This window comes from Homo sapiens, chromosome 1 (genome assembly GCF_000001405.40).
Source record: "Homo sapiens chromosome 1, GRCh38.p14 Primary Assembly".
In the NCBI taxonomy this organism is placed as follows: domain Eukaryota; kingdom Metazoa; phylum Chordata; class Mammalia; order Primates; family Hominidae; genus Homo; species Homo sapiens.
The window spans coordinates 35,485,394-35,509,210 of record NC_000001.11 but is presented as its reverse complement, the minus strand read 5'-3'; the positions used below and the strand labels follow the sequence as shown (position 1 = coordinate 35,509,210).

Below are 23,817 nucleotides of genomic sequence, written 5' to 3'. Positions count from 1 at the left end.
GGTACTTTGTTTAAACATTCTAACTACCAGTCACCCTGAACTCCGTCTCCTCAATTTAGCAACTGCCCTGTTATGCTTGCCTTCTTCTTGCCTGTGCCACAGTCTGGAGCATGCCTCCAGCAGAAAGCCAAGGGATTCATAGAGCTCACCTGGTTTGTTTCCTTTCAGGGATCATAGTCCTGCACTGCCTGTTGTCCAGTGTCTAAAAACAGTTGCTTTATATATTTTGTCTAGTTTTCTAGTTATTCATGGTGGGAAGGCAAGCCCCATAGCAATTCCTTCTTCAAGAGCAGAAGTGGAAGTTGTATTGCATTTTTAAAAATTAAATAATATATCAGCTTAGAAAAAAGCACAGATAATTTTCATCTGTGTTGACCTCTTAAGTATGAGAAAATAGTTATGAGAAGAATGAAGGAAAATTGATATAAAGGTAAAAATAGTAGTTACTGATAAAACAATTTGATTTCAACAAAGTCTGTTCACTCAGTTAGCTGTTACCGAGATTCTTACTATTGGTGCCTGTGTGGAAGGATAAATAAAAATGAGGGGGTATTTCTGTATCTGTTGGTAGCTTGATTTTTTTTTCGTAGTTGGTATTCTTCATCTTTTTTTTTAAGGGAGTTCTATTTTCTGTGGCCTTCTAAATTGCCTCGTCTGGTGTTAGGTTGGTGCCAGTGCTGGCTTCCATAGTGCTCCTGACTCAATACTCTAGAAGCTTGCCTTTACCTTCCTTTTATCTTTGATTAGTTTCCACATTTAGTCCGTTGGACATTTAGTAAGTATTCCGTGGGAGTCAGATTGGCTTTGGCTGATTGTCAGTTGCTTTCGTTAGAGGTCTTTTCAGTTGTGTGTACATGCAGACATGATTATCCATATCTTCAGTGTTTTGATTCTATTGCATATTTTTTCTATGTAATTCTAACATATATTTTATGTTATAAGCCCAGGGCCAGGACTAGGGTAAGGAGAGAGGTGCCCAGAACACAGAATTTAAAGAGACACTCACTATGAAGGTCCTGTGAGCCAACCCTTTGCTGGAATGACTCTGAAAGTGAGCACCTCCTTAAATTTTGTGCCTGAGGCACCTCTCTTGCCTCACCCTAGTTCTGTTTCTATATAACCCTGACAATAGCTGGTAATAGACACCTATAGAGCCAGTACCTTAAAATGAACTCACATAATCACTTCCATTTAGAACAAGTTTTGACTTCATCTAAGAAAACAGAGGTGAGATACTATTTCAGAAAAATCAATGCCATACCTGAAATAATTAAAACAGTCCAAAGTTTATCCATCAGCAACATTAGCCAGAATTTTGGATCATATTATTTAGGTTACCCATAGCATGTCACTGTTGTACTTAGGTTCCATTATTTCTTATCATGACATGACTTGTCATTAGGAAGTTCTTTCTAGCAGAATTGCTCTCGTGGTTAAAATTTTTGGTAATCTTGACTACCACTCTGGCTGATACTATGATATGCAAAACCATTTGACTTTGGCAAATGATTGGTTAAAGAATGAATGTGCCTATTAACTGCATGAGGTTCAGAGTACTCAGTCTGTGTTGCTGCCAGTTTGCTGGGGAAACTGTTCTTCTGGTCCCACAGTTCTCACATTGCTACCTGTTCTTCTGGTCCCACAGTTCTCACATTGTCCCTGAGAAATACCTTGGAGGTGAGTGGGAGGTCATCAGGTATTGGGACTCTGCCCTCTTCCTCCCAACTTGCCACTTCCCTGCATATGCTTCCACCAGAATACCTCTTTTTTTGTTTTTGTTTTTGTTTTTGTTTTCCTGTTTATGAAGTGACATTCTGTGTAAAAGGTCTCCATGGCAGGAACTCATTGAGAAGGAGAACAATTAATGAATGTGGAGCAGTATTTCTAGAACCTAAAATATCCGAAGACAAAAAACACTCTCTTTCACTTCCTTTGTTCCACTCACTAGATGGCTTTCTCACCCTCTTAAAAACTCGTCTTCAAAATAACCTCAAATGTTGGTTCTCAGGGCTCTTTATGGAGCAGTAGTCTCTGTTTTTATTTCATCTGAAAATGTTTTCATTCTTTGTTTTTAGATGCCAGTGAGAGCAGGTGCCAGCAGGGGAAGACACAATTTGGAGTTGGCCTGAGATCTGGGGGAGAAAATCACCTCTGGCTTCTTGAAGGAACCCCCTCTCTCCAGTCATGTTGGGCTGCCTGCTGCCAGGACTCTGCCTGCCATGTCTTTTGGTGGCTAGAAGGGATGTGCATTCAGGCAGACTGCAGCAGGCCCCAGAGCTGCCGGGCTTTTAGGACACACTCCTCCAATTCCATGCTGGTGTTTTTAAAAAAATTCCAAACTGCAGATGATTTGGGCTTTCTACCTGAAGATGATGTACCACATCTTCTGGGGCTAGGTTGGAACTGGGCATCTTGGAGGCAGAGCCCACCCAGAGCTGCACTCAGACCTGCTGTATCTTCCAGTGACCAGCAGAGCTTAATCAGGAAGCTTCAGAAGAGAGGTAGTCCCAGTGACGTAGTTACACCTATAGTGACACAGCATTCTAAAGTGAATGACTCCAACGAATTAGGTGGTCTGACTACCAGTGGCTCTGCAGAGGTAAGCATGCTATGAATAAGGAGCAGAGAAATGGTTAAATCTGCTCTTACATTTGGTATATATGAGCAATGAAGCTGATGCTTGCGGGCAGTGCTCATAGGCTGAGGAGTGTATATATAAAGCTGCTTGGTGTCAGCTTCTTTGGTGCTGCCCAGATGTACAAAGGGTAATTTGACCCTAGAGATGTTCATGCTATGTAGGTCTGACCATTGTTTTGGTAAATGCAGAAAGCTGCTCATTATCTAGTCTAAGCTGGTTCTTGGCTACAGGTAAGTACAGTTGTATGGCTGTTAGTATTCACCAACCATTCTGCAGTATTTTCTGCCAAATTGCAAAACAGTTGATTGATGTGGTTACAGTCAAGTTCTCCTCCATCTCTCGCCTGTAAACACATTCTTTATGAGGTAGTTTCTATTCCAGTCAGAATTAACCATGCTTGGTACTACAGATTAAGATCTGACCTGCTGGGCTGTGGAGCAGGATGTGGCCATTAGCCAAGAGGTCTCTGGAGTGAATTCTCACCAAGCTGTATATGCCAAGGGAGATACCACCAGTAGAGTTTATTCTGCTTATTATGTTTCTTCATTGTTGATCTCCTTGGGGAAATGATTAAAAGGAATGACTCACTCTCTGCTCAGTCTTCCTTGATTGCTGTGACTTATTTTTGTATTTGTTTTGTCCTAGTTGTCTCTATCAAGTTGAAGCCAGAGTGGGCTATGACATGCCAAGCGCTCTGTGTACTAATTGTTGCACTGTATCATTTTGTTTAATTTTCATAGCAATATTTCCAAGTAGGCATTATTAGCCCTGTTTACCTGGTGAGAAAACTGAGGCCCAGAGAGGTTAAACAGTTTGCCAGTGATCATGCAGCATAGCTAGAATTGGAACCCAGATTTAATATTAAGAAAAAAACTTTTTAGTGCAGTATTAGAGAACAATCCTAGATTTAATATGCCCATAAACATTTATGGCTACCTACTGTCAATGTCAGGCACTTTTCTAAGCCTTAGAGATACAAAGGTGAATAAGAATGGTTCATTCCCTCAGGGAGTTTATAATCTAGTGGAGACTGATACATGAAGATAGGTATTTACAGTGGTGTATAATTATTGCATTAACATACTTATGTACACAATGCAGTAAGAACACAAGAAGTGATTCACTTCAGCAGGCAAGTGGTGTGTATGTGCAGGTAAGACTTCTCCGAGATGTTTAACATTTCTTGAAGGATGTGTAGGATTGTACTGGGGTGGGGTTAATGGTGGTAAAAAAACATTCTGGACAGAGCCACAGTGTATGTAAAGGCTCGGTCATAGTCATTGTGTATTTACTTGCGAGGTACTATACTAAGCTGGATACTGGGAATATTACAATAAATAAGATGAATATCATTTCTGCCTTAACAAGGCTTATACTCTGGCAAGGAATATTACATTTCTAATAATTAAATTATTATAATAATTATAAGCTTGATGTGGGTAATGAGAGGGTAAATACAGAGTGCCGTGAAAGCATCCAACAGGCACCTAATACAAACTAAGGTGTCAGGTTAGGCCACTTTAAAGAAAGAAAGTTTAAGCTGATATTTGAAGTAGGAATTCGGAAAAGAAACAGGGAAAAAGAGTATTTCAGGCAGAGGAAATAACAATTTCAAAGTGTGTTAGGTGCCCTAGAATATGGCGAGCTCAAGAAATTGGGAGAGACTGGTGTTGCTGGGCAAACGGAGAAAGAGAGCTGGTGGTGAAAGAGAAGTCTTGAGAGGTATGCAGAACCTTGAGGCCTTATTAAAATACTGGTTTTTATCTGAAGATCAGTGGGAAACCATTAGGGAGTTTTAAGTAGGGAATGACATAATCAGATAGTGGCTATGTGGTGAGTAGACTGGAAAGGGCGAGAATATACAGTTGACCCTTGAACAGTGTAGGGGTTAGGAATGTCAACCCTTTGTGCAGTTGGAAATTTGCATAAACTTCAGAATCCCCCAGAATGTAGCTACTAAAAGCCTGCTGTTGACTGGAAGCCTTACCAATAAGATAAACAGTCGATTAACACATATTATGTATGTCATATGCATTATATACTGTATTCTTAAACTAGATAAAATGTTAAGAAAATTGGCTGGGTGTGATGGCTTATGCCTGTAATCCCAGCACTTTGGGAGGCCAAGGCGGGCGGATCACAAGGTCAGGAGATCGAGACCATTCTGGATAACACGGTGAAACCTTGTCTCTACTAAAAATACAAAAAGTTAGCCGGGCGTGGTGGCAGGCGCCTGTAGTCCCAGCTACTCGGGAGGCTGAGGGAGGAGAATGTCGTGAACCTGGGAGGTGGAGCTTGCAGTGAGCGAAGATTGCGCCACTGCACTCCAGCCTGGGCAACAGAGTAAGACTCTGTCTCAAAAAAAAAAAGGGAAGAAAATCATAAGGGGCTGGGCACGGCAGCTTATGCCTGTAATGTCAGCACTGGGGTAGGCTGAGGCAGGTGTATCAATTGAGGTCAGGAGTTCAAGACCAGCCTGGCCAACATGGTGAAACCCCGCCTCTACTAAAAATACAAAAATTAGCGAGGTGAGGTGGTGCACACCTGTAATCCCAGCTACTTGGGAGGCTGAGGCATGAGAATCGCTTGAACCCAGGAGGTGGAAGTTGCAGTGAGCCGAGATTGCACCACTGCACTCCAGCCTGGGCGACACAGCAAGACTCTGTCTCAAAAAAAAAAAAAAAAGAAAATCACAAGGGAAAATATACTTAGTATTCATTAAGTGGAAGTGGATCATCTTATAGGCATCCTTATTGTCTTCACGTTGAGTAGGCTGAGGAAGAGGAGTAGTTGGTCTTGCTGTCTCAGGCGGCAGAGGCACGAGAAAATTCACATATAAATGAACCTGCGCAGTTCAAGCCTGTGTTGTTTAAGGGCCAACTGTATATGGCCTGGTAAAATAGGAGGCTTTTCAGGCAAGAGAACCATTGTACTAAAAAAGGAGATTAAAGACAGGAAAAGGGATAAATAATGAATAATCCCTTAGAGCTGTGGTTCTCAAACTTTAGCATGCATCAGACTCACTTGAAGGCCTTGTTAAAAATAAATTGGTCTTTGTTTCTTGCTCTGAAGAGATGGAAATAAAAAAGATTGCCGGGCCCCAACTCCATAGTTTCTGACTCGGTAGGTCTGGAGTATGTTCTGAGAATTTGCATTTCCAGAAAGTTCCTGGAGTGTGCCAATGCTGCTGCCCAGGGACCAGAACCACTGCCTTATAGGGCAGGAAGGTTAGAATACTGAGCACAGAGTACAGTATTAGTCTTAAGCAGGATACTTCCTTCATTGTGACAGAGAGAAAGGATTGGGTAGGACACAGCTAGGGTGGGTTTATATACTGGGTAGAAGGAAATTGTTGTAGTTCTCATCTCTTTCTTGTTTTTTCTTAAGTGTGATAGATCATTTATGGATAGTAGAAACAGAGGTAGAGGTAGATGGGATTGGGGGGAGTGGGTAATAGACAGGAAAATCAGAGGTTTAGAGAGTGGGGTAAAGGTCTAAAATAGCCATCGTGAAGGATAGAAGATGGCAAACTAGGTAAGAAAATAGAAATATTGCTGGGTAGCCTTGAAGATGGAGATCATGCATTTATAACAGTGGTACTGATCTTTAAGTTGTGTGATTCTCCTCAGTAGCTCTCAGCAACTCTGTCAAGAAAAGCCTGATAATTTGATTCATCCAAGATAGGAACTTTGCTAGGTAGTTTGTACAGAAGGAAAATGAGGTATGGAAATCGAGGTTGTTGTAAAAAGAGTGATGAGAGATAGTATGAGAAAGTATAAAAAGAGGCAAAGATAGCAAGGCGCTACAGAAGTAGACAAGTTTGGCATTTAGTGGTTACCATGATGGGAAGCAGATGTCAGAGGAATGGGTAATTGTGAGTGCTGGAAGGATAGGAGGCGGTGGTCAGAGTATGTAATATTTGAATTTAAGATTTTGGAGGTGGTAAAGTTCTGATGGCAGAATCTAGGGTGAGCTGTGGAAGAGGGTTGCTGGGGTAGAGTGGAGAAGAAGTTTATTGGAGGCAAGGAGCTCAAAGAACCCAGCAAGCTCAAAGAACGTGTTAAATGAGTTACCCATGTGGACACTGAGGTAGTCTTTAATGATGGTGATGGTGATGATGATGATGATGATGATGATGATGATGATGATGACAGCAGCAATAACTGATGTTTACTGAGCATTTACTATATGCCAGGTACCATTCAGAACCCTTTACGTGTATTAACTCTTAATCTATACAGCAAATCTTGTGAATTACTATTACTGTTCCTGTTTTTTTTTTCTTTTTTTTTTTTTCTTGAGACAGAGTCTCACTGTGTCACCAGGCTGGAGTGCAGTGGTGCGATCTTGGCTCACTGCAACCTCTGCCTCTGGGTTCAAGTGATTTTACTACCTCAGCCTCCAGAGTAGCTGGTACCACAGGGGTGTGGCACACCCAGCGACTTTTTTTGTATTTTTAGTAGAGATGGCATTTCACCATGTTGGCCAGGGTGGTCTCGATCTCCTGACCTCGTGATCCGCCTGCCTCTGCCTCCCAAAGTGCTGGGACTACAGGCATGAGTCACTGTGCCTGCCCGTTCCTGTTTTATAAATGAGGAAACTCAGGCAACACAGCTAGGTATGTGGTACAACCAAGACTTGAACCTAAGCAGGCTGATTCTGTACGGACTCAGTCCTCTTTTTTTTTTTTTTTTGAGATGGAATTTTGCTCTTATTGCCCAGGCTAGAGTGCAATGGTGCGATCTTGGCTCACTGCAACCTCCACCTCCCGGGTTCAAGCAATTCGTCTGCCTCAGCCTCCCGAGTAGCTGGGACTACAGGCATGAGCCATCACGCCCAGCTAATTTTTTGTATTTTTAGTAGAGACAGGGTTTCTCCATGTTGGTCAGGCTGGTTTCAAACTCCTGACCTCAGGTGATCTGCCTGCCTCGGCCTCCCAAAGTGCTGGTATTACAGGCGTGAGCCACCACGCCTGGCCTGTCCTCTTACTGGCCTGTCCTTTCTTACTGTTCAGGTAGGACTTGGGATGAGGAGGACTTTTGAAAGCCAGATGTCAAAGTCACCAGTAAAATAGGAAGAGTGACGAGTAAATTGGGAGATGATAGCTGCAATGAGAGTTGAAGTGGCAGCAAGATGGCAAAGGAGAAGAGGTTTTCACAGGGAGGTAGAAGAATAATGGTTTGCAGAGGACATTGGGAAGCAGCAGCAAAGAAAATACCTCCAGCATACTATAGGATAATTATGGCCCGTGAAATTAGAAATGGATAAGTTAGAAAAATGGTAGATTTAGATCTGACAGTCTCCTGGAGGATGGTGAAAATTCAAACTTGGGTCTTACAGAATTCAGGTGTATGCTGGAAGGAAGATCCTGAGGATGTGTTGGCTATAGAGAATTCTTTCTTCTAGTTTACCATTAGTGGGCAGTGGCAAGAAATTGCTGCTGGTGAGTAGGATTTCAAGACCTTTGTGGTCTAATGTGGAGAGTGGATAGACATGAGGGGAGGAATATTGAATTTGAACTATGAACCCCAGGACTGGGAGTGGGCTTTTGCTGCATGCAGTGTTGCACGGAGGCATTACAAAGCTTGGCATTACATATTGAGAACTGCAAGTATTGCTAAAAAAAAAAAAATGGGGCAAAGTGAAATCTTCAGATCCAGATAAGTTATATTTGACCTTATATATCATGCTTAGGAGCTAGCTTCTTACCCTGAAGGCCATGTATAGCTCTGGAAAGGTGGTAAGATTGCCTTGTGCATTGAGAATTGCCTTGGCATTTCTTTTGGGAGAGAACTTGGGAGTTCAAACTTCTGCTTAATGCACTAGGGAAGGGAAGAGAAAAGTATGCACTGCAGATCTCATTCTAATTAGGGATGACTGGCGAGCAGCACCAGTTTCTAGTTTGTGCTGTTTTCACTAAGGTAGGTCAAGCAACTCTGCATCCAAAGTGGAGAGAAATTGTATCATAAATTGCTTTTGTCTTGCCTGCCTGCAGAGCTGCAAAGGCATTTGGATTGTCAGTCTGCATTTTTCACTCTTTTGGAAATATACATATATTGAATCCAAAGGCAGATATTGTGGACCTTTTGCAATTCCAAAAGTAGAAAGGAATGTCATCAATATATTCCCGTTTCTCAACTTAAAGAGGGTGAAGCCTGTCCTGCTTAGTTTAAGTATTGCACCCTTTCTGTACCATGAACCTCTGAATTGTTGGCAGGAGGAGCACAGAGGCTTGTTGATTGGGTCCTGGAACGTGTACAGTATAAGCAGTTCAGCCAATTAATTGTGTACATTATAAGAATGTGTACAGCTTAAGCAGTTCTGACAATTAATTGCTGCCAATCCTGCTATGTGCCAGAGAAAAAAGTGCTTTATTTGAGCGCAGGAAATGAAAGTCCACTTAGGTATCCCTGCATGTAAGGTTTGACTGTAGGAAGACTGAAGTGTTGTTCTCTCTAACAGCATCGTCTCCCTGTTTCCAGTCAATAATCACACACGGCATTTTGACCCTTAGCAAGCCAGTGGCTTTCTGTGGAACAAATAAATGACTTAGAGGATAAATGAGCCAAGCACCCAGATAGCCATCTGCTGCCTTCTTTTTCTGAGAACTCTTGTGCTGGCTCCATGTAAAGCCTGAGCTTACCTCTTATCAGAAGATAGAGGTGTGGGGTGTGGGCAGCCACAGAGGGATAATCTTACGTAACTGATGACAGAAACCTAAGCAGTGCTGTTTCCCTTCATGTTTTGTTGTTGTTGTTTTGGGTTTGTTTTTCAGGGTTTTTTTTTTTTTTTACTTGTTTTTACTTGTTTGCTTGTTTTTGTTGTGTTAGTTCTTGGACCACAACACCCTTTCCTTATTTTTTTTTCCCTTCATAGCTACCCATTTTCTCCTCTAATCTAATAGTTCTGGTTCTTTAATCTACTTATCTAGTTTTTAGTATGTGCAGTGAGTTTGAAATTGCGTTTATTGGCTCCTTTGTAAGCTAATTTATTGTCTTAATTCATTGAGGCTGCTGTAACAATACCATAAACTGGGTGGTTTATAAACAACAGAAATTTATTTCTCACTGTTCTGGAGGCTGGGAAATCCCAGCTGAAGGTGCTGGCTGATTTGGTGTCTAGTGAGGGGCCAGTCTGCATAGACACTGCATTCTAGCTATGTTCTCACACGGTGGAAGAGGAAGACAAACTCTCTCTGGTCCGTTTTCTAAGAGCACTAATCCCATTCACAAGGGCTCCAACTTCATGACCTAATTACCTTCCAAAGGCCCTACCTCCTAATACCATCACTTTGGGGGTTAGCTAGATTTCAACATACGAATTTTGGGAGAACACAAACATTCAGTCTGTAGCACCTACGAAGCAAGAGTTGATGGGGATTTTGGTGTGGGTCCCTTAACAACTCCTTACTAACTGGCAGAACTTGACCATCTCTTGTTAACACCACAGGTGTCATCCCTCTCTTTCCTATTTAGTGGATGGTCTTAGTTTCTCTAAGGAGACTCTCAGAAGACTAACTTTTAATTAATTTCTATAAAGATAAACCCTGCCATATTCTCCAGTCTCAGCTTTAGTTGCTGAGAATTGGGATGTGGTGTGTCATTAGACCCCACTAATGCAGGAAGAAGACCCGACTAATGCCACTGCAGGAAGACATTCCTTTCCATTGGTAGGATTTTTATTAATGACAGTGGTGGGTTTTTATTTCAATACCATTGTGTCTCAAATCAAAATGTATTGAAAGCTGAATTTTTATAAACTGTTGTTTAATATTAAGTAGAAACTAGGATAGCATGTTCCTTACCAAGGAGGACCCCTATATGGATTGTGATTATGTAACCAGGTAAGTGTGAACATCCTGTGTGTGGCGTTACAGACTCCTACTCAAAATGGAATAGATAGTGATGAGAGTTTTCTTTTGTTATCTTTAATTATGACATTAATTGCTGGGCCTGGCTTACTTGATTTGGAGAGGGTAGCCTCAGAGTGGAGGCAGGGAGGAAGGGAGAAGGAAGAAGAGAAGAGAATTGGAGAGATGGAGAAAGAGAATATGAATTGAAACCTTTCATCATTATGAATAAGAATTCTTGAAGAAGAAACAGGTTTGTTCAGAATTGGTTTAGTTTTTATTATTTCTATCCAGTGCCAGAAAAAATTGCTCAAGGAAATTCCATCCAACCCTTTATTATCCCCTAAAAATTTTTAGTATTACTTCATAGTTTCTTTTTTTTTTTTCCCGAGATGGGAGTTTCGCACTTATTTCCCAGGCTGGAGTGTAGTGGTGCAATCTCGGCTCACTTCAACCTCCGCCTCCTGGGTTCTAGTGATTCTCCTGCCTCAGCCTCCCAAGTAGCTGGGATTACAGGCACCCATCATCATACCCAGCTAATTTTTTGTATTTTTGTAGCGACAGGGTTTCATCACGTTGGCCAGGCTGGTCTCGAACTCCTGACCTCAGGTGATCCACCTGCCTTGGCCTCCCAAAGTGCTGGGATTACAGGCGTGAGCCACTGCGCCCAGCCTACTTCATAGTTTCTCAAATAAAATAATTTGTTCCATGTCTCCTGTTTCTGTTTCCTTAAAAATACAGTACATAAATTTTTGAAAATGATAAACAAGGTTTTCTTTAAAACAAATTATTTTAATAAATGAAAATCTGTCTGCCTAACTTTAAAATAGTCACACTGTTCTTCTACTTCTGGGAATCTGTCTAAAGCAATAGTTTCTAAATAAAACTTTGCACACAATGGTGAGATGATACTTATTTTATGAAAAAAATGAAAGCAGTCTGTCTAATGAGGGGAAAATGGACATTGTGCAATCGTTATAAATACGCTTTTGGGTGCATGAATGGCTCTTTTGTTACTCCTTTCTCCTTTCCATTCCACCCACATGGAATACTTGTTCTTCTGTGGGTGCCATACTTTTAGAAAGCAGCTTTTTTGAAGTATAATTGTCATATCATAAACTGTACATGTTTAAAGTGTACAATTTGGTTAGTTTATTTATATCTATCTCTATGTCTATAAAACCATCACCATAAAAAGATAACGAATATATGTATCAACTCTAAAATTTCTTCTGCCGCTTTGTAATCTGTCCCTCTCACCCCCTCTAGAAAATTGATCTGCTTTTAGTCATTATAGATTTTCTGTAATTTTTAAATAAATTGAATCATACATTACATACGTATTCTTTTTAACGACTTTATTGAGGTATAATTTATATAAGGAAACATTCCTTTTAAGCATACAATTCAGTGGTTTTAGTAAATGCATAGAGTTGTAAATCATTATTACAATCCAGTTTGATAACATTTCATCTTTTTTTTTTTTGTCTTTTTCCTGCCGTACAGTTTGATAACATTTCTATCACCCCCCCAAAACTTCCCTTGTCCCCATTTATCCAAAAGTTCCTGTGTGCCATCCCTATTCCCACCCCCAGTCCTAGGCATCCATTGATCTGCTGTCTCTATAAATTTGCATTTTCTAGACTTTGCATTAATATGGAATCATGGAATATGTAGTCTTTTGTGTTTAGGTTCTTCTACTTAGCGTAATGTTTTTATGTCCATTCATGTCATAACATATGCCAGTAGCTGCTTTTTTTTTTTTTTTTTTTTTTTGGAGACACAATCTCACTCTGTTGCTCAGGCTGGAGTGCAGTGGCACTATTTCTGCTCTCCGCAGCCTCGACCTCCAGGGTTCAAGTGATTCTTGTGCCTCAGCTTCCCAAGTAGCTGGGAATACAGGCATGTGCCACCACGCCCAGCTAATTTTTGTATTTTTTAAAGTAGAGACGGGTTTTCACCATGTTGGCCAGGCTGGTCTCAAACTCCTGACCTCAGGTGATCTGCCCACCTTGGCCTCCCAAAGTGGTGGGATTACAGACATGAGCCACTGTACCCAGCACCTAGTAGCTGGCTTTTGAAAATTCCTAAGTAGTATTCCATTGTATAGATATAATTTGTTTATCCATTTACCTGTTAATGGATATTGGATTGCTTCCAGATTTTGGTTATTACAGATTAAGACGCTAGGAACATTTGTGTACAAGTCTTTGTATAGCATATATTTTAATTTCTCCTGGGTAAATATGTGGGAGTGGAATAGCTGGATTACATTGTATGTTTTATTTTATTTTTTATTTTTTTGAGACGGAGTCTCACTGTGTCACCCAGGCTAGAGTGCACTGGCACCATCTCAGCTCACTACAACTTCCGCTTCCTGGGTTTAAGAGATTCTCCTGCCTCAGTCTCCTGAGTAGCTGGGATTACAGGCACCTGCCACCATCCCCGGCTAATTTTTGTATTTTTAGTAGAGACAGGGTTTCACCATGTTGGCCAGGCTGGTATCGAACCCCTGACCTCAAGTGATATACCCATTTCGACCTCCCAAAGTGTTGGGATTACAGGCGTGAGCCACCATAACCGGCCTATATTGTATGGGTATATTTAACTTTTTATCAAACTGCCCAAGTGTTTTCCAAAGTGGTTGTACCATTTTACATTTCCGTGATTAATGTATCAAATTTCCAGTTGCTCCACATTCTTGCTAACACTTGGTATGGTGAATCTTTTTAATTTTATACATTGTAATAGGTGTTTAATTGAATCTCATTGTGGTTTTGGTTTGCATTTTCCTAATGACTAATGATGTTGAATATTTTTTGTGTGCTTATTTGCCATTCATGTTTTTTTTTTTTTTTTTGTAGAGTGTTAATATTTTTCCCCATTTTTAAAAAGTGGAAAAAATTATCTGGGTGTGGTGGTGCACACTTGTAGTCTCAGTTATTCAGGAGGCTGAGGCAGGAGAATTGCTTGAGCCTGGGAGGTTGAGGCTGCAGTGAGCTTTGATCATGCCACCACACTCTAGCCTGGGTGACAGAGTGAGACCCTATCTTAGAAAAACAACAACAAACAAACAAACAAAACCAAACAAACAAAAAAACTGTGTTATTTTCTTACATATATATTTTCTGCATACAAGCTCTTTCTCAGATACGTGATTTGCAAATATTCTCTCCCAGTCTGTAACTTATCTTTTCATTCTCTTAGCAGTGTCTTTCAAAGAGCAGATATTAATTTTGATGAAGTCTGGTTTATTAATATTTCTATTATGGATTGTGTTTTTGGTGTTGTATCTGAGAAAGATTTTCTCCTAAGTTTTCTTCTGAAAGATTCATAATTTTATTTATTTTTTAATTTTTGAGGCAGAGTCTCACCTGGGCTGGAGTGCAGTGGCATGATCTCGGCTCACTGCAACCTCCATCTCCCAGGTTCAAGCGATTTTTCTGCCTCACCCTCCCAAGTAGCTGGGACTACAGGTGTGCACCACCACGCCTGGTTAATTTTTGTATTTTTAGTAGAGATGGGGTTTCACCATGTTGGCCAGGCTGGTCTCAAACTCCTGACCTCAGGTGATCCACCTGCCTCGTCCTCTCAAAGTGCTGGGATTACAGGCATGAGCCACCGCACCTGGCTATAAAAGTTTCATAAGTTTAGGTTTTACATTTAGGTCTAGGGTTATTTTGTACATTGTGAGAGCTATGGATGGAATTTTTTTTTGGCATATGAATATCCAGTTGTTTTAGGACCGTATTTTTTCCATCCTTTCTACACTGAATTGCCGTTTTACCTTTGTTGAAAATCAGTTAAGCGTATGTTTATAGGTCTGCTTCTCTACACTGTTTGGTCCCATTTATCTGTTTGCCTATATTGACATGAGTTCTACACTGTCTTGATAACTGTAGCTTTCTTTTTTGAGACAGGGTCTCACTGTGGTTGCTCAGTTGGAGTGCAATGGTACAGTCTTGGCCCACTGCAGCCTTGACCTTCCGGGCTCAGGTGATTCTCCCACTTCAGCCTCCCAAGTAGCTAGGACTATAGGCATGCACCACCATGCCTGCTAGTTTGTTTTTTTTTTTTCCCTTTGTTATTTTAGCGGAGATGGGGTTTCACCATGTTGCGCAGGCTGGTCTCAAACTCCTGGACTCAAGCAATCCACCTACCTCAGCCTCCCAAGCTGCTGGGATTATAGGCGTGAGCCACCACACCCGGCCTAACTCTAGCTTTGTAATATATGTTTATTTTATTTTATTTTTTATTTTTATTTATTTATTTTTTGAGACGGAGTCTCACACTGTTGCCCGGGCTGGACTGCAATGGCGCGATCTTGGCTTACCTTAACCTCCGCCTCCCGGGTTCAAGTGATTCTCCTGCCTCAGCCTCTTGAGTAGCTGGGATGACAGGCGCCCACCACCATGCCCGGCTAATTTTTTGTATTTTTTAGTAGAGATGGGGTTTCATTATGTTGGCCAGGCTGGTCTTGAACTTCTGACCTCGTGATCCACCTTTCTCGGCCTCCCAAAGTGCTGGGATTACCGGTGTGAGCCATTGAGCCCGGCTGTAATATATGTTTAAATCAGATGATGTTTAAAACTTTGTTCTTGATCAAAATTGCCCATTTTAGGTTTTTTGCATGTCCTTATAAATTTTAGAATTATCTTGTCAGTTTCTTTTTAAAAAGTCTTCTGGAATTTTCAGTGGGATTGTATTGGGAGTGTAGATCAATTTGGAGAAACTCAACAGCCTAATAATAATGTTGGATTTTCAGACCCATGAGCACAGTGTATCTCTCCATTTAATTAAATAATCTATAATTTTTCTCAGTGACGTGTTGTAGTTTTGGTGTACAGATCTTTTTGTTTGTTTGTTTGTTTGTTTGTTTGAGATAGGGTCTCACTTTGTCACCCAGGCTGGAGTGCAGTGGCGTGATCTCGGCTCTCTGCAGCCATGACCTCCTGGGCTCAAGTGATCCTCCTGCCTCAGCCCCCCAACTAGCTGGGACTACAAATGTGTACTCCTACATCTGGCTAATTTTTTTTAGAGTTGTTGCTTCACCATGTTGCCCAGGCTGGTCTCCAACTCCTGAGTTTAAGCGATCCACCTGCCTCGGCCTCCCAAAGTGCTAGGATTACGGCTAAATCTGATGAAAGATGTGCAAGAAAGACATGTATACCAGCTGGGCACCGGTGTACAGATCTTGCAGTCTTTTGTCAGGTTTATCTGTAATTCTAAAAAAATCTAAAAATGTGCAAGATCTGTACACTGGCACCCAGCTAGTGTACAGATCTTGCACATCTTTATTTTTATTTTTTTGCACCTCCTCCTCCAACAGAGATCTTGCACATCTTTTGTCAGATCCGTATTTCATTAAAAAAATGTTTAGTGGGTACGTACATAGTAGGTATATATATTTGTGTATTTCATATATTTGATGCTATTATATTTGATGTTTTTAAAGAACCCAGTGTCTGATTGTTTGTTGCTGGTATATAGGAATACAATTACTTTTTGTATATTGGTCTTGTATCTTGTAATCTTGCTAAACTTATTTATTCATTCTGTTAGCATTTTGTATAGATTCCATAGGATTTTCTCTATATATAATCATGTTGTCTATAAATAAAGACAGCTTTACTTCTTCTCCAACCTGGATGCCTCTTATTTCTTTTTCTTGCCTTATTGCCCTGGCTAGAACTTCCACTACAATGTTTTTTATATATTTTTACTTTTTGTGGAGATGAGCTCTTGCTTTGTTGTCCAGGCTGGTGTGGAACTCCTGGCTTCAAGCAATCTTCCTGCCTTAGCCTCCCAGTGTGCTGGGATTACAGATGTGAGCCGCCATGCCAGGCCTCCAATACAGTGTTGAATCCAAGTGGCGAAAGTCTACATGTTAGCTGTAGGTTTTTTGAAAGCAACAAGTCTGTAAGTCAGCTATAAGTCTGATGTTAGCTGTAGGTTTTTTGAAGATACCTTTCATCAGCTGTAGGGAATTTTTCTATTCCTAGTTTGATGTGAGTTTTTATCAGGAATAATTGATGGATTTTGTCAAATGCTTTTTCTGCATCTATTGAGATGATTTTTTTTGTTTTTAGTATGTTAATATGGTGAATAATATGATTGATTTCAAATGTTAAACCAACCTTACATTCCTGGAGTAAACCCCGCTTGGTCATGATATTATTATTATTATTATTAATTAATTTATTATTTTTTGAGACAGAGTGTTGCTCTGTCACCCAGGCTGGAATGCAGTGGCTTGATCTTGGCTCACTGCAACCTCCACCTCCTGGGTTCAAGCGATTCTCCTGCCTCAGCCTCCTGAGTAGCTGGGACTACAGGCGCATGCCACCACACCCAGCTAATTTTTATATTTTTAGTAGAGACGGGGTTTCACCATATTGGTCAGGCTGGTCTTGAACTCCTGACCTTGTGATCCACCTGCCTCAGCTTCCCAAAGTGCTGGGATTACAGACGTGAGCCTCCGCGCCCAGCTTGGTCATGATATTATTTTGATGTATTTTTATATTTGATTTATCAAATTTTTGTCATGAATTTTTACATCTGTTTATTGGCTGGCCTCATAGAATGAGTTGAGGAGTTTTTCCTTTTCTTCAGTTTTCTGGAGGGTTTGTGTAGAATTGGTATTATTTATTCCTTAAATGTTAAATATAATTCTCCAGTGAACCATCTGTACTTCGAATTTTCTTTGTGAAAAGTTTTAAACTAGAAATTCAATTTATGTGATAGATACATTGCTATGTAGGCTGTCTCTTTCTTCTTGAGTGAGTTTTGGCAGATTGTGTCTTTCAAGGAATTTATGCATTTCATGCCATTAGTCAAATTTATTTGCATAAAGTTCATTATAGTCTTTTACTGTCCTTTTAACATCTGTAGAACCTTTAGTTACATTGTCTCTCTCATTCTTCATATTGATCATTTGTGTCTTCTTGTCTCTTGCTCTGGCTCTGGCTCTTGCTGTCTCATTTCTCCTGATTAGACTAGTTAATGTTTCTCAAAGAACCATGTTTGGTTTTATTCGTTTTTCTCTATTGTTTTTCTGTTTTCTATTTTATTGATTTCTGCGCTAATCCTTTTTTTAAAATATTACATTTAATATTTTCCCTGTTTAAACAAATCCAAGTTGACAGGTTTATTTTTTTGCTTTCAGTACTTTCGAGATACTGTGTCAATGTCTTCTAGCTTGCATTGTTTCAGTTGAGATATCTGCTCTAGTTTTTATCTTTGTTCCACATATATCATGTTTCTTTTTTCTCTGGCTGCTTATATAATTTTCTCCTTACCACTGTTTTAAGCGATTTGATTATGTTATTCTATGGCGTAATTTTATGTTTCATGTGCTTGGGGCTTGTTGAACTTTAATCTGGATTAGAATGTGGGTTTATAGTTTTCTTCAAATTTGGGAAATTATTGACAATTATTCAAATATTTTTCTGTCCCTCTCCCTTTGGGACCAATTGAATTTATTTCACAGTTTGCTGATCCCCATTCGTTTATTTTCAGTCTTTTTTCGTCTCTGTGTTTCATTTTGAGTAGTTTCTATTGAAATTCTTTAAGGTTACTAATCTTTTCTTCTGCATTGTTTAATCTGCCATTAAATTCCTACAGTATTGCATTAGTCTGTTCTCACATTGCTATAAAGAACTATGTGAGACTGGGTAATTGATGAAGAAAAGAGGTTTAATTGACTCACAGTTCTGCAGACTGTACAGGAAGCATGGCTGGGAAGCCTCAGGAAACTTACAATCATGGTGGAAGGCAAAGGGGAAGCAGCACAATCTTCACATGCAGGAAAGAGAGAGAGTCAAGTGGGAAGTGCCACACACTTTTAAACCATCAGATCTCATGAGAACTCACTCACTATCATGAGAACAGGAAGGGGAAATCCACCTTCATGATCCAGTCACCTCCTACTATGTCCCTTCCCCAACATTGGAAATTACAATTCAACATGAGATTTGGGTGGGGACACAGAGCCAAAACATATCAAGTGTATTTTCTTTAATATCAAACATTGTAATATTTATATTAAAAGTTTGATATGAGGTCTTTTTTATGTCTTATAACCTTTCCTATAACTTCTTAAACATAGAAATATAATCATAATACTTATTTTAATATCCCTATCTACCAGTTCTGTCATCTCTGTTATTTCTGGATCAGTTTTAATTGATTTACATTTTTTTTCTCATTATAGTATTTATTTTCCAGCTTCTTTGCATGTCTGGTTATTTCAGATTAAATGCTAGACATTGTAAATTTTACCTACTGGGGTGTTGGATATTTTTGTATCACTATGAATATTCTTGAGCTTTGTTCTGGACTGTGGTTAAATTATTTGCAAACAGTGATACTTTTGAGTCTTGCTTTTAAGCTTTGTCATGTGAGTCCGGAGCTGCATTTAGTCTAGGGTTAATTTTTCTATCCTACTAAAGTAGGACTTTTATTAGTACTTTAACTGATGCCCTATGAATTACAAAGTTTTCCATTCTAGCTTTGTGGAATAGGTACTATTTCTTAGCCGTCTAAACTTGAGTACTTTTCTCTGTAATCAAGAGAACTACAGGGCAGCCTAGGCAACATGGCAAAACCTCATCTCTGTAAAAAGTACAAAAAGCTACTTGGGGGGCTGAGGTAGGAGGATTGCTTCAGCCTGGGAGGTCGAGGCTGCAGTGAGCCAAGATCGCGTCATGGCACTCCAGCCTGGGTGATAGAGTGAGACCCTGTCTCAGAAACAAACAAAAGCCAGGCATGGTGGCTCATGCCTGTAATCCAGCAGTTTGGGAGGCTGAGGCGGGCAGATCACTTAAAGTCAGGAGTTCGAGACCAACCTGGCCAACATGGTGAAACCCTTTCTCTACTCAAAATACAAAAATTAGCCGGGCACAGTGGCAGGCGCCTGTAATCTCAGCTATTTGGGAGGCTGAGGCAGGAGAATCGCTTGAACCTGGGAGGCAGAGGTTACAGTGAGTGGAGATTGCACCACTGCACCCCAGCCTGGGTGACAGAGTGAGACTCCATCTCAAAAAAAAAAAAAACCCAAAGAAACAAAACAAAGAATACAGGTTAGTTTTTCCCTGACCCTCTGTAGTTTCTCCATATACATCTGATTATCAGTATTCCCTTGAGTACTTAAGGGGGTCTCCTTCAAATTTTCAGAGTTCTGTCTCTGTATAGCACTCTTCTTTCCCAGACTTCCAGTTCAGCTCTTCAACTCAGAAAGACTGCTGGTCTGTGCTTGGATTTCTTCTTCCTGTGCCATGGCTCAAAAACATTTTCTAGACAGTAAGCTGGGGCAATCATAGGGTTGATCTTACTTGTTTTTCATTTCTTAGGGATCACTGTTTTTTATCACCTGATGTCTGGTGTCTTGAACGCCATTGTTTAATATATTTGGTCTGGTTTTTAAATTTTTTTCAGAAGGATAAATCTTCTTGCTGTTACTTCTTCTTGACTGGAACAGAAAGTCCACCATGTTTTTTTTTGTTTTTGTTTTGTTTTTTTACCTTGTGGCATTCACCTACCTAACTACTACTTAGTCTTCCTAGGCTTTACTTCTTTTTGAAGCCTTCTCTGATATTTACTTCCCAAGTTTGGACCCAGATGCTCTCCTAAATATTTGCATAATACTCAACTCTATCATTAAGTTTTCAGTCTCAGAACTTGATGCTCATTGTTCAAACTTGATACTTGCAAATATGTCCTTGATCTTGTCTCCTTGCATCTTTAGCTACCATTCGTTTGTCTCTCTTCCTTTTTATCTAGAAATATCAAAGGTAGTCTGCACTTGCTGTCTCTTCTTTATTCACTTACATCTAATCCTCAGCCATGTGGAATTTGGTTTCCACTGAAGCTACTCTTGCCAGGGTCACCAGTGACTTCACAGTTGCTGATTGCAGTGTATTCTTTTCAGTCTTTATTTGATTGGCCCCATCTGCATTATTTCATACTGGTTGCAATTGTCCCTTCTTTCTTTGGGGACCACACATTCCTGGTCCTTTTCCTTCTTCCTGATGATTCCTTCTTAGTCAATTTTGTTGGTCCTTTTATCAGCTTACAGCCTTTGTATTCCTAAATGTTCTATTCTTTGATTACTATTTCTTTTATTTACATGTTCTTCCTGTCGTAGTTCATCCACTCCCATGGCTTTAGGAGCATGATTCCAAATCTTAGTTTCTGTTTCAATTTCCCAGAGGTATTTTAGCTTCAATTTGTCTAAAACATAACTTCCTGTAATTTCCTTAAAGTTGCTCTTCTGTAGTCTATTTCGTTTTTGATACTACTGTAGTCAGTCCCTCACTCAGGCTAGAAACATGGGTGTCATCTCAGACTCTTCCCCAAACCCCAGATCTATTACAGCTCCATAAATATTAGATTCTTAATATTTTAAAATCCATCCCACAGGAGGAGTTTCCAGTAATGGTGGCAGAGTGAAGTAGTCTCTGAAACCTTCCCACAGATAATATTAGAAAATCTGTAAACAAATGTATTAAAAGATACTGGAAAGGTTCCAAAAGCAGATAGAAGCTAGAGGAGCGCTTACTTTTGAAAAATGGCAACTGGGAGTGAAAAGAATTGTGAATTTGCAGCTTAAAAAAATTTTTTCCTGAGGGCATTCAACAACTCCCACAGCAGAGGAAAGTGGCAGTGGAAAACTCCAGCCTTACTTTCTTATGGTGGCAAAAACAGAGTTCATGATAGAAAAAGCATCTGAAAATTTAGCAGGAGGGCTTGAAAGTGAGAAAACCACAGAAGAGGGTGACCCCCATAACCTGACTGTGAACTCTGCTAAAATCCCTGGATGTACCTCTAAACTACACCTGCATGGGCAGACTCCATGAGGCCTGCTGAAAAAGCAGGCAGAGATTAGGGAGGCAGAGATTAGAGTTCTGTCTTTGAAAGACAGAATCTACACAAGGTGAACTTCGTAAGTTTGCTGCTTTTTAAAATTGAATGCATTCTCCAACCATGGGGAACCAGGTGGCAGATATATGAAGTCTTATGGACTTGAGGTGTCAGTGGACGTAATCTTAAGGCTGAAAAGTTAGGGAGGAATCCCCAGAAACAAAGACAGTACAATGAGAACAGGCCCCAAATCTGAGTAAAATCTCTGGCCAAATTCTTGGTCAATTATCAGTTACACAGGCAGACCTGTAGTGGCCAGGCTGGGCGTGGTGCCTTACGCCAGCACTTTGGGAGGCCAAGGCAGGTGGATCACTTGAGGCCAGGAGTTAGAGACCAGCCTGGCCAACATGGCGAAACCCCGTCTCTACTAAAAATACAAAAATTAGCTCGGTGTGGTGGTGCATGCCTTTAATTCCAGCTACTAGGGAGGCTGAGGCACGAGAATCACTTGAAGCCAGGAGGCAGAGGTTGCAGTGAGCTGAGAAGATCACACTGTTGTACTCCAGCCTGAGCAACAGAGCAAGACTGTCTTAAAAAAAAAAAAAAGTTGTGAGAACTACACAGAGATATCAGTTGTTGAACACTGTAAGGAGCAAAGTCTACAGTTCAGTCCAGGGAGGTTATTTGTCTACTAGGAAAACCTCCCCCAGTAATCCCAAGGAAAATATAGTAGAATCCAGAGTCACTACATGTATCAGAATGTCCAACGTTAAACCAAAAATTACCAGACATGCACAGGAACAGGAAAGGGTGATCCATACGCAGGGAAAAAAAGGCAGTCAATAGAAGGTGGCTCCAAGTTGACTCAGATGTTGGAGATAGTAGTCAGACTTCAAAGTAGCTATCATATGTATGTTCAGATAATTAAAGGAAAATGTTTGTTTTGTTTTTGTTTTTTTGGGTCTCATTCTGTTGCCCAGGCTGGAGTGCAGTAGTGCTATCTTGGCTTACTGCAGCCTCAAACTCGTGGGCTCAAGCGATCCTGCCAACCCAGCTTCCTATGTAGCTAGGCCTACAGGGGTGTGCCACCACTCCCAGCTAATTATAATTTTTTTTTTTTTTTTTTGTAGAAATGGGGTCTCGCTATGTTGTGCAGGCTGATCTTGAACTTCTGGCCTTGAGCAATCCTCCCACCTTGGCCTCCCAGTATGCTAGGATTACAGGTGTGAGCTACTGTATCGGGCCAGAAAATAGTTTCAATGAGTAAACAGATGAAGAATTTCAGAAAAGAAATGTTAAAAATGGGAAAATAGAAACAAGAGGGCTTACAAAATGGCAGCAAGAAGGGATCTGTAGTTTTCGTGTAAAAAACAAGTATAAAACTGGGCAAAATTGTTAAAACCAAATATTTTTAACATATCTAGAAATAAAATAGAAGCAGAAACAAATTGAGAAAAACTTATTCTTTTTTTTTTTTTTTTTTTTTTCTTGAGACAGGGTCTTACTCTGTCATCCAGGTTGGTGTGATCATGGCTCACTGCAGCCTTGACTTCCCTGGCATGAGCCATCCTCCCACCTCAGCCTCCCAAGTAGCTGGGATTACAAGTGCGCACCACCACGTCCAGCTAACTTTTTATATTTTTTGTAGACACGGGGTCTCACTATGTTGCCTAGGTTCTTGAAAAACTCGTGGGCTCAGGTGATCCTCCTGCCTCGGCATCTCAAAGCGCTGGCTTGAGCCACCACACCCCAGCCTAAGAATTTATTCTTAAAAGGCTGGTAATACTTTGAGTAGGTACAGTGGAAGTCTGTGGTCTTCTTGGAATGTTTCCCATCTGTCCTTACCTCCATTACTCAGCTCTGGTGACAAGAATTGTAGTTTTACCAGTGTGTGGCTGAACATGAAAACTAATATCTTAAGGAGCCAGAGTGCAGTGGCACATGCCTGTAATTTCAGCTACAGGGAGGCTGAGGTAGGAGGACTGCTTGAGCCTCGGGAGTTCCAACCAGCCTGGAACTCAACATAGTGAGACCCCGTCTCAATTGAAAAGGAAAAAAAATAAATAAATAACACTAGCAAATTTTCTGCCAGAGGGGGTAGACTTAATGTGGGACAGGTGAAAACTCACAGCTTTGCCAACTAAAAGTGGCAAACTTGGTTGAGAATGAATGGAGAGAATCCACAGCTTTGCTAGCTGAAGGTTGCAGTGCCTGTTGGAGTAGATGGTGGACCTGCCAGAAACTAAATGGGAAGATCTTGAAAATAAGAGAGCCATAGAAGGGCTACGATAAGCTCTCCACATATCTCTGGCTGATAGGGAAGTTACCTGCATGTGCAGGAGGGACCCAAGGGAACCCAATAAAAAGTAAAAATTAAAGGGGACTTGAGAACTGGCTGTAACTTTGAATGCATTCCTCAGGCAATATACAGATAGATTGGCAGATGGCAAAGCTTTATGGGTTTGAGGTC

General features: G+C 40.6%; 1 protein-coding gene across 18 annotated transcripts in view, besides 2 other annotated features; it reads left to right on the top strand.

The window, feature by feature from the left end:
* KIAA0319L (KIAA0319 like) overlaps positions 1-23,817 on the top strand; it is a 124,170-nt gene that overhangs the window by 48,451 nt on the left and 51,902 nt on the right. For 17 of the 18 annotated variants that reach the window (XM_006710909.3, XM_017002369.3, XM_047430826.1 and 14 more), the window contains exon 3: positions 2,076-2,599. The exons of the other annotated variant lie outside the window; for it this stretch is intronic. In XM_006710909.3, the coding sequence (XP_006710972.1) occupies positions 2,076-2,599 (524 nt within the window). The remainder of the gene's footprint in view (positions 1-2,075; positions 2,600-23,817) is intronic. 18 annotated transcript variants of the gene reach the window in all.
* Positions 1,946-1,995: an enhancer, noted in NCBI's record as "active region_729". NCBI's record gives its function as "activates an Ori minimal core promoter by ATAC-STARR-seq in GM12878 lymphoblastoid cells {active_cell/tissue: GM12878}" and the evidence as "EXISTENCE:reporter gene assay evidence [ECO:0000049][PMID:35858748]".
* Positions 9,089-9,383: an enhancer, noted in NCBI's record as "tiled region #12145; K562 Activating DNase matched - State 5:Enh". NCBI's record gives its function as "activates a minimal TATA promoter and a strong SV40 promoter by Sharpr-MPRA in K562 cells {active_cell/tissue: K562}" and the evidence as "EXISTENCE:reporter gene assay evidence [ECO:0000049][PMID:27701403]".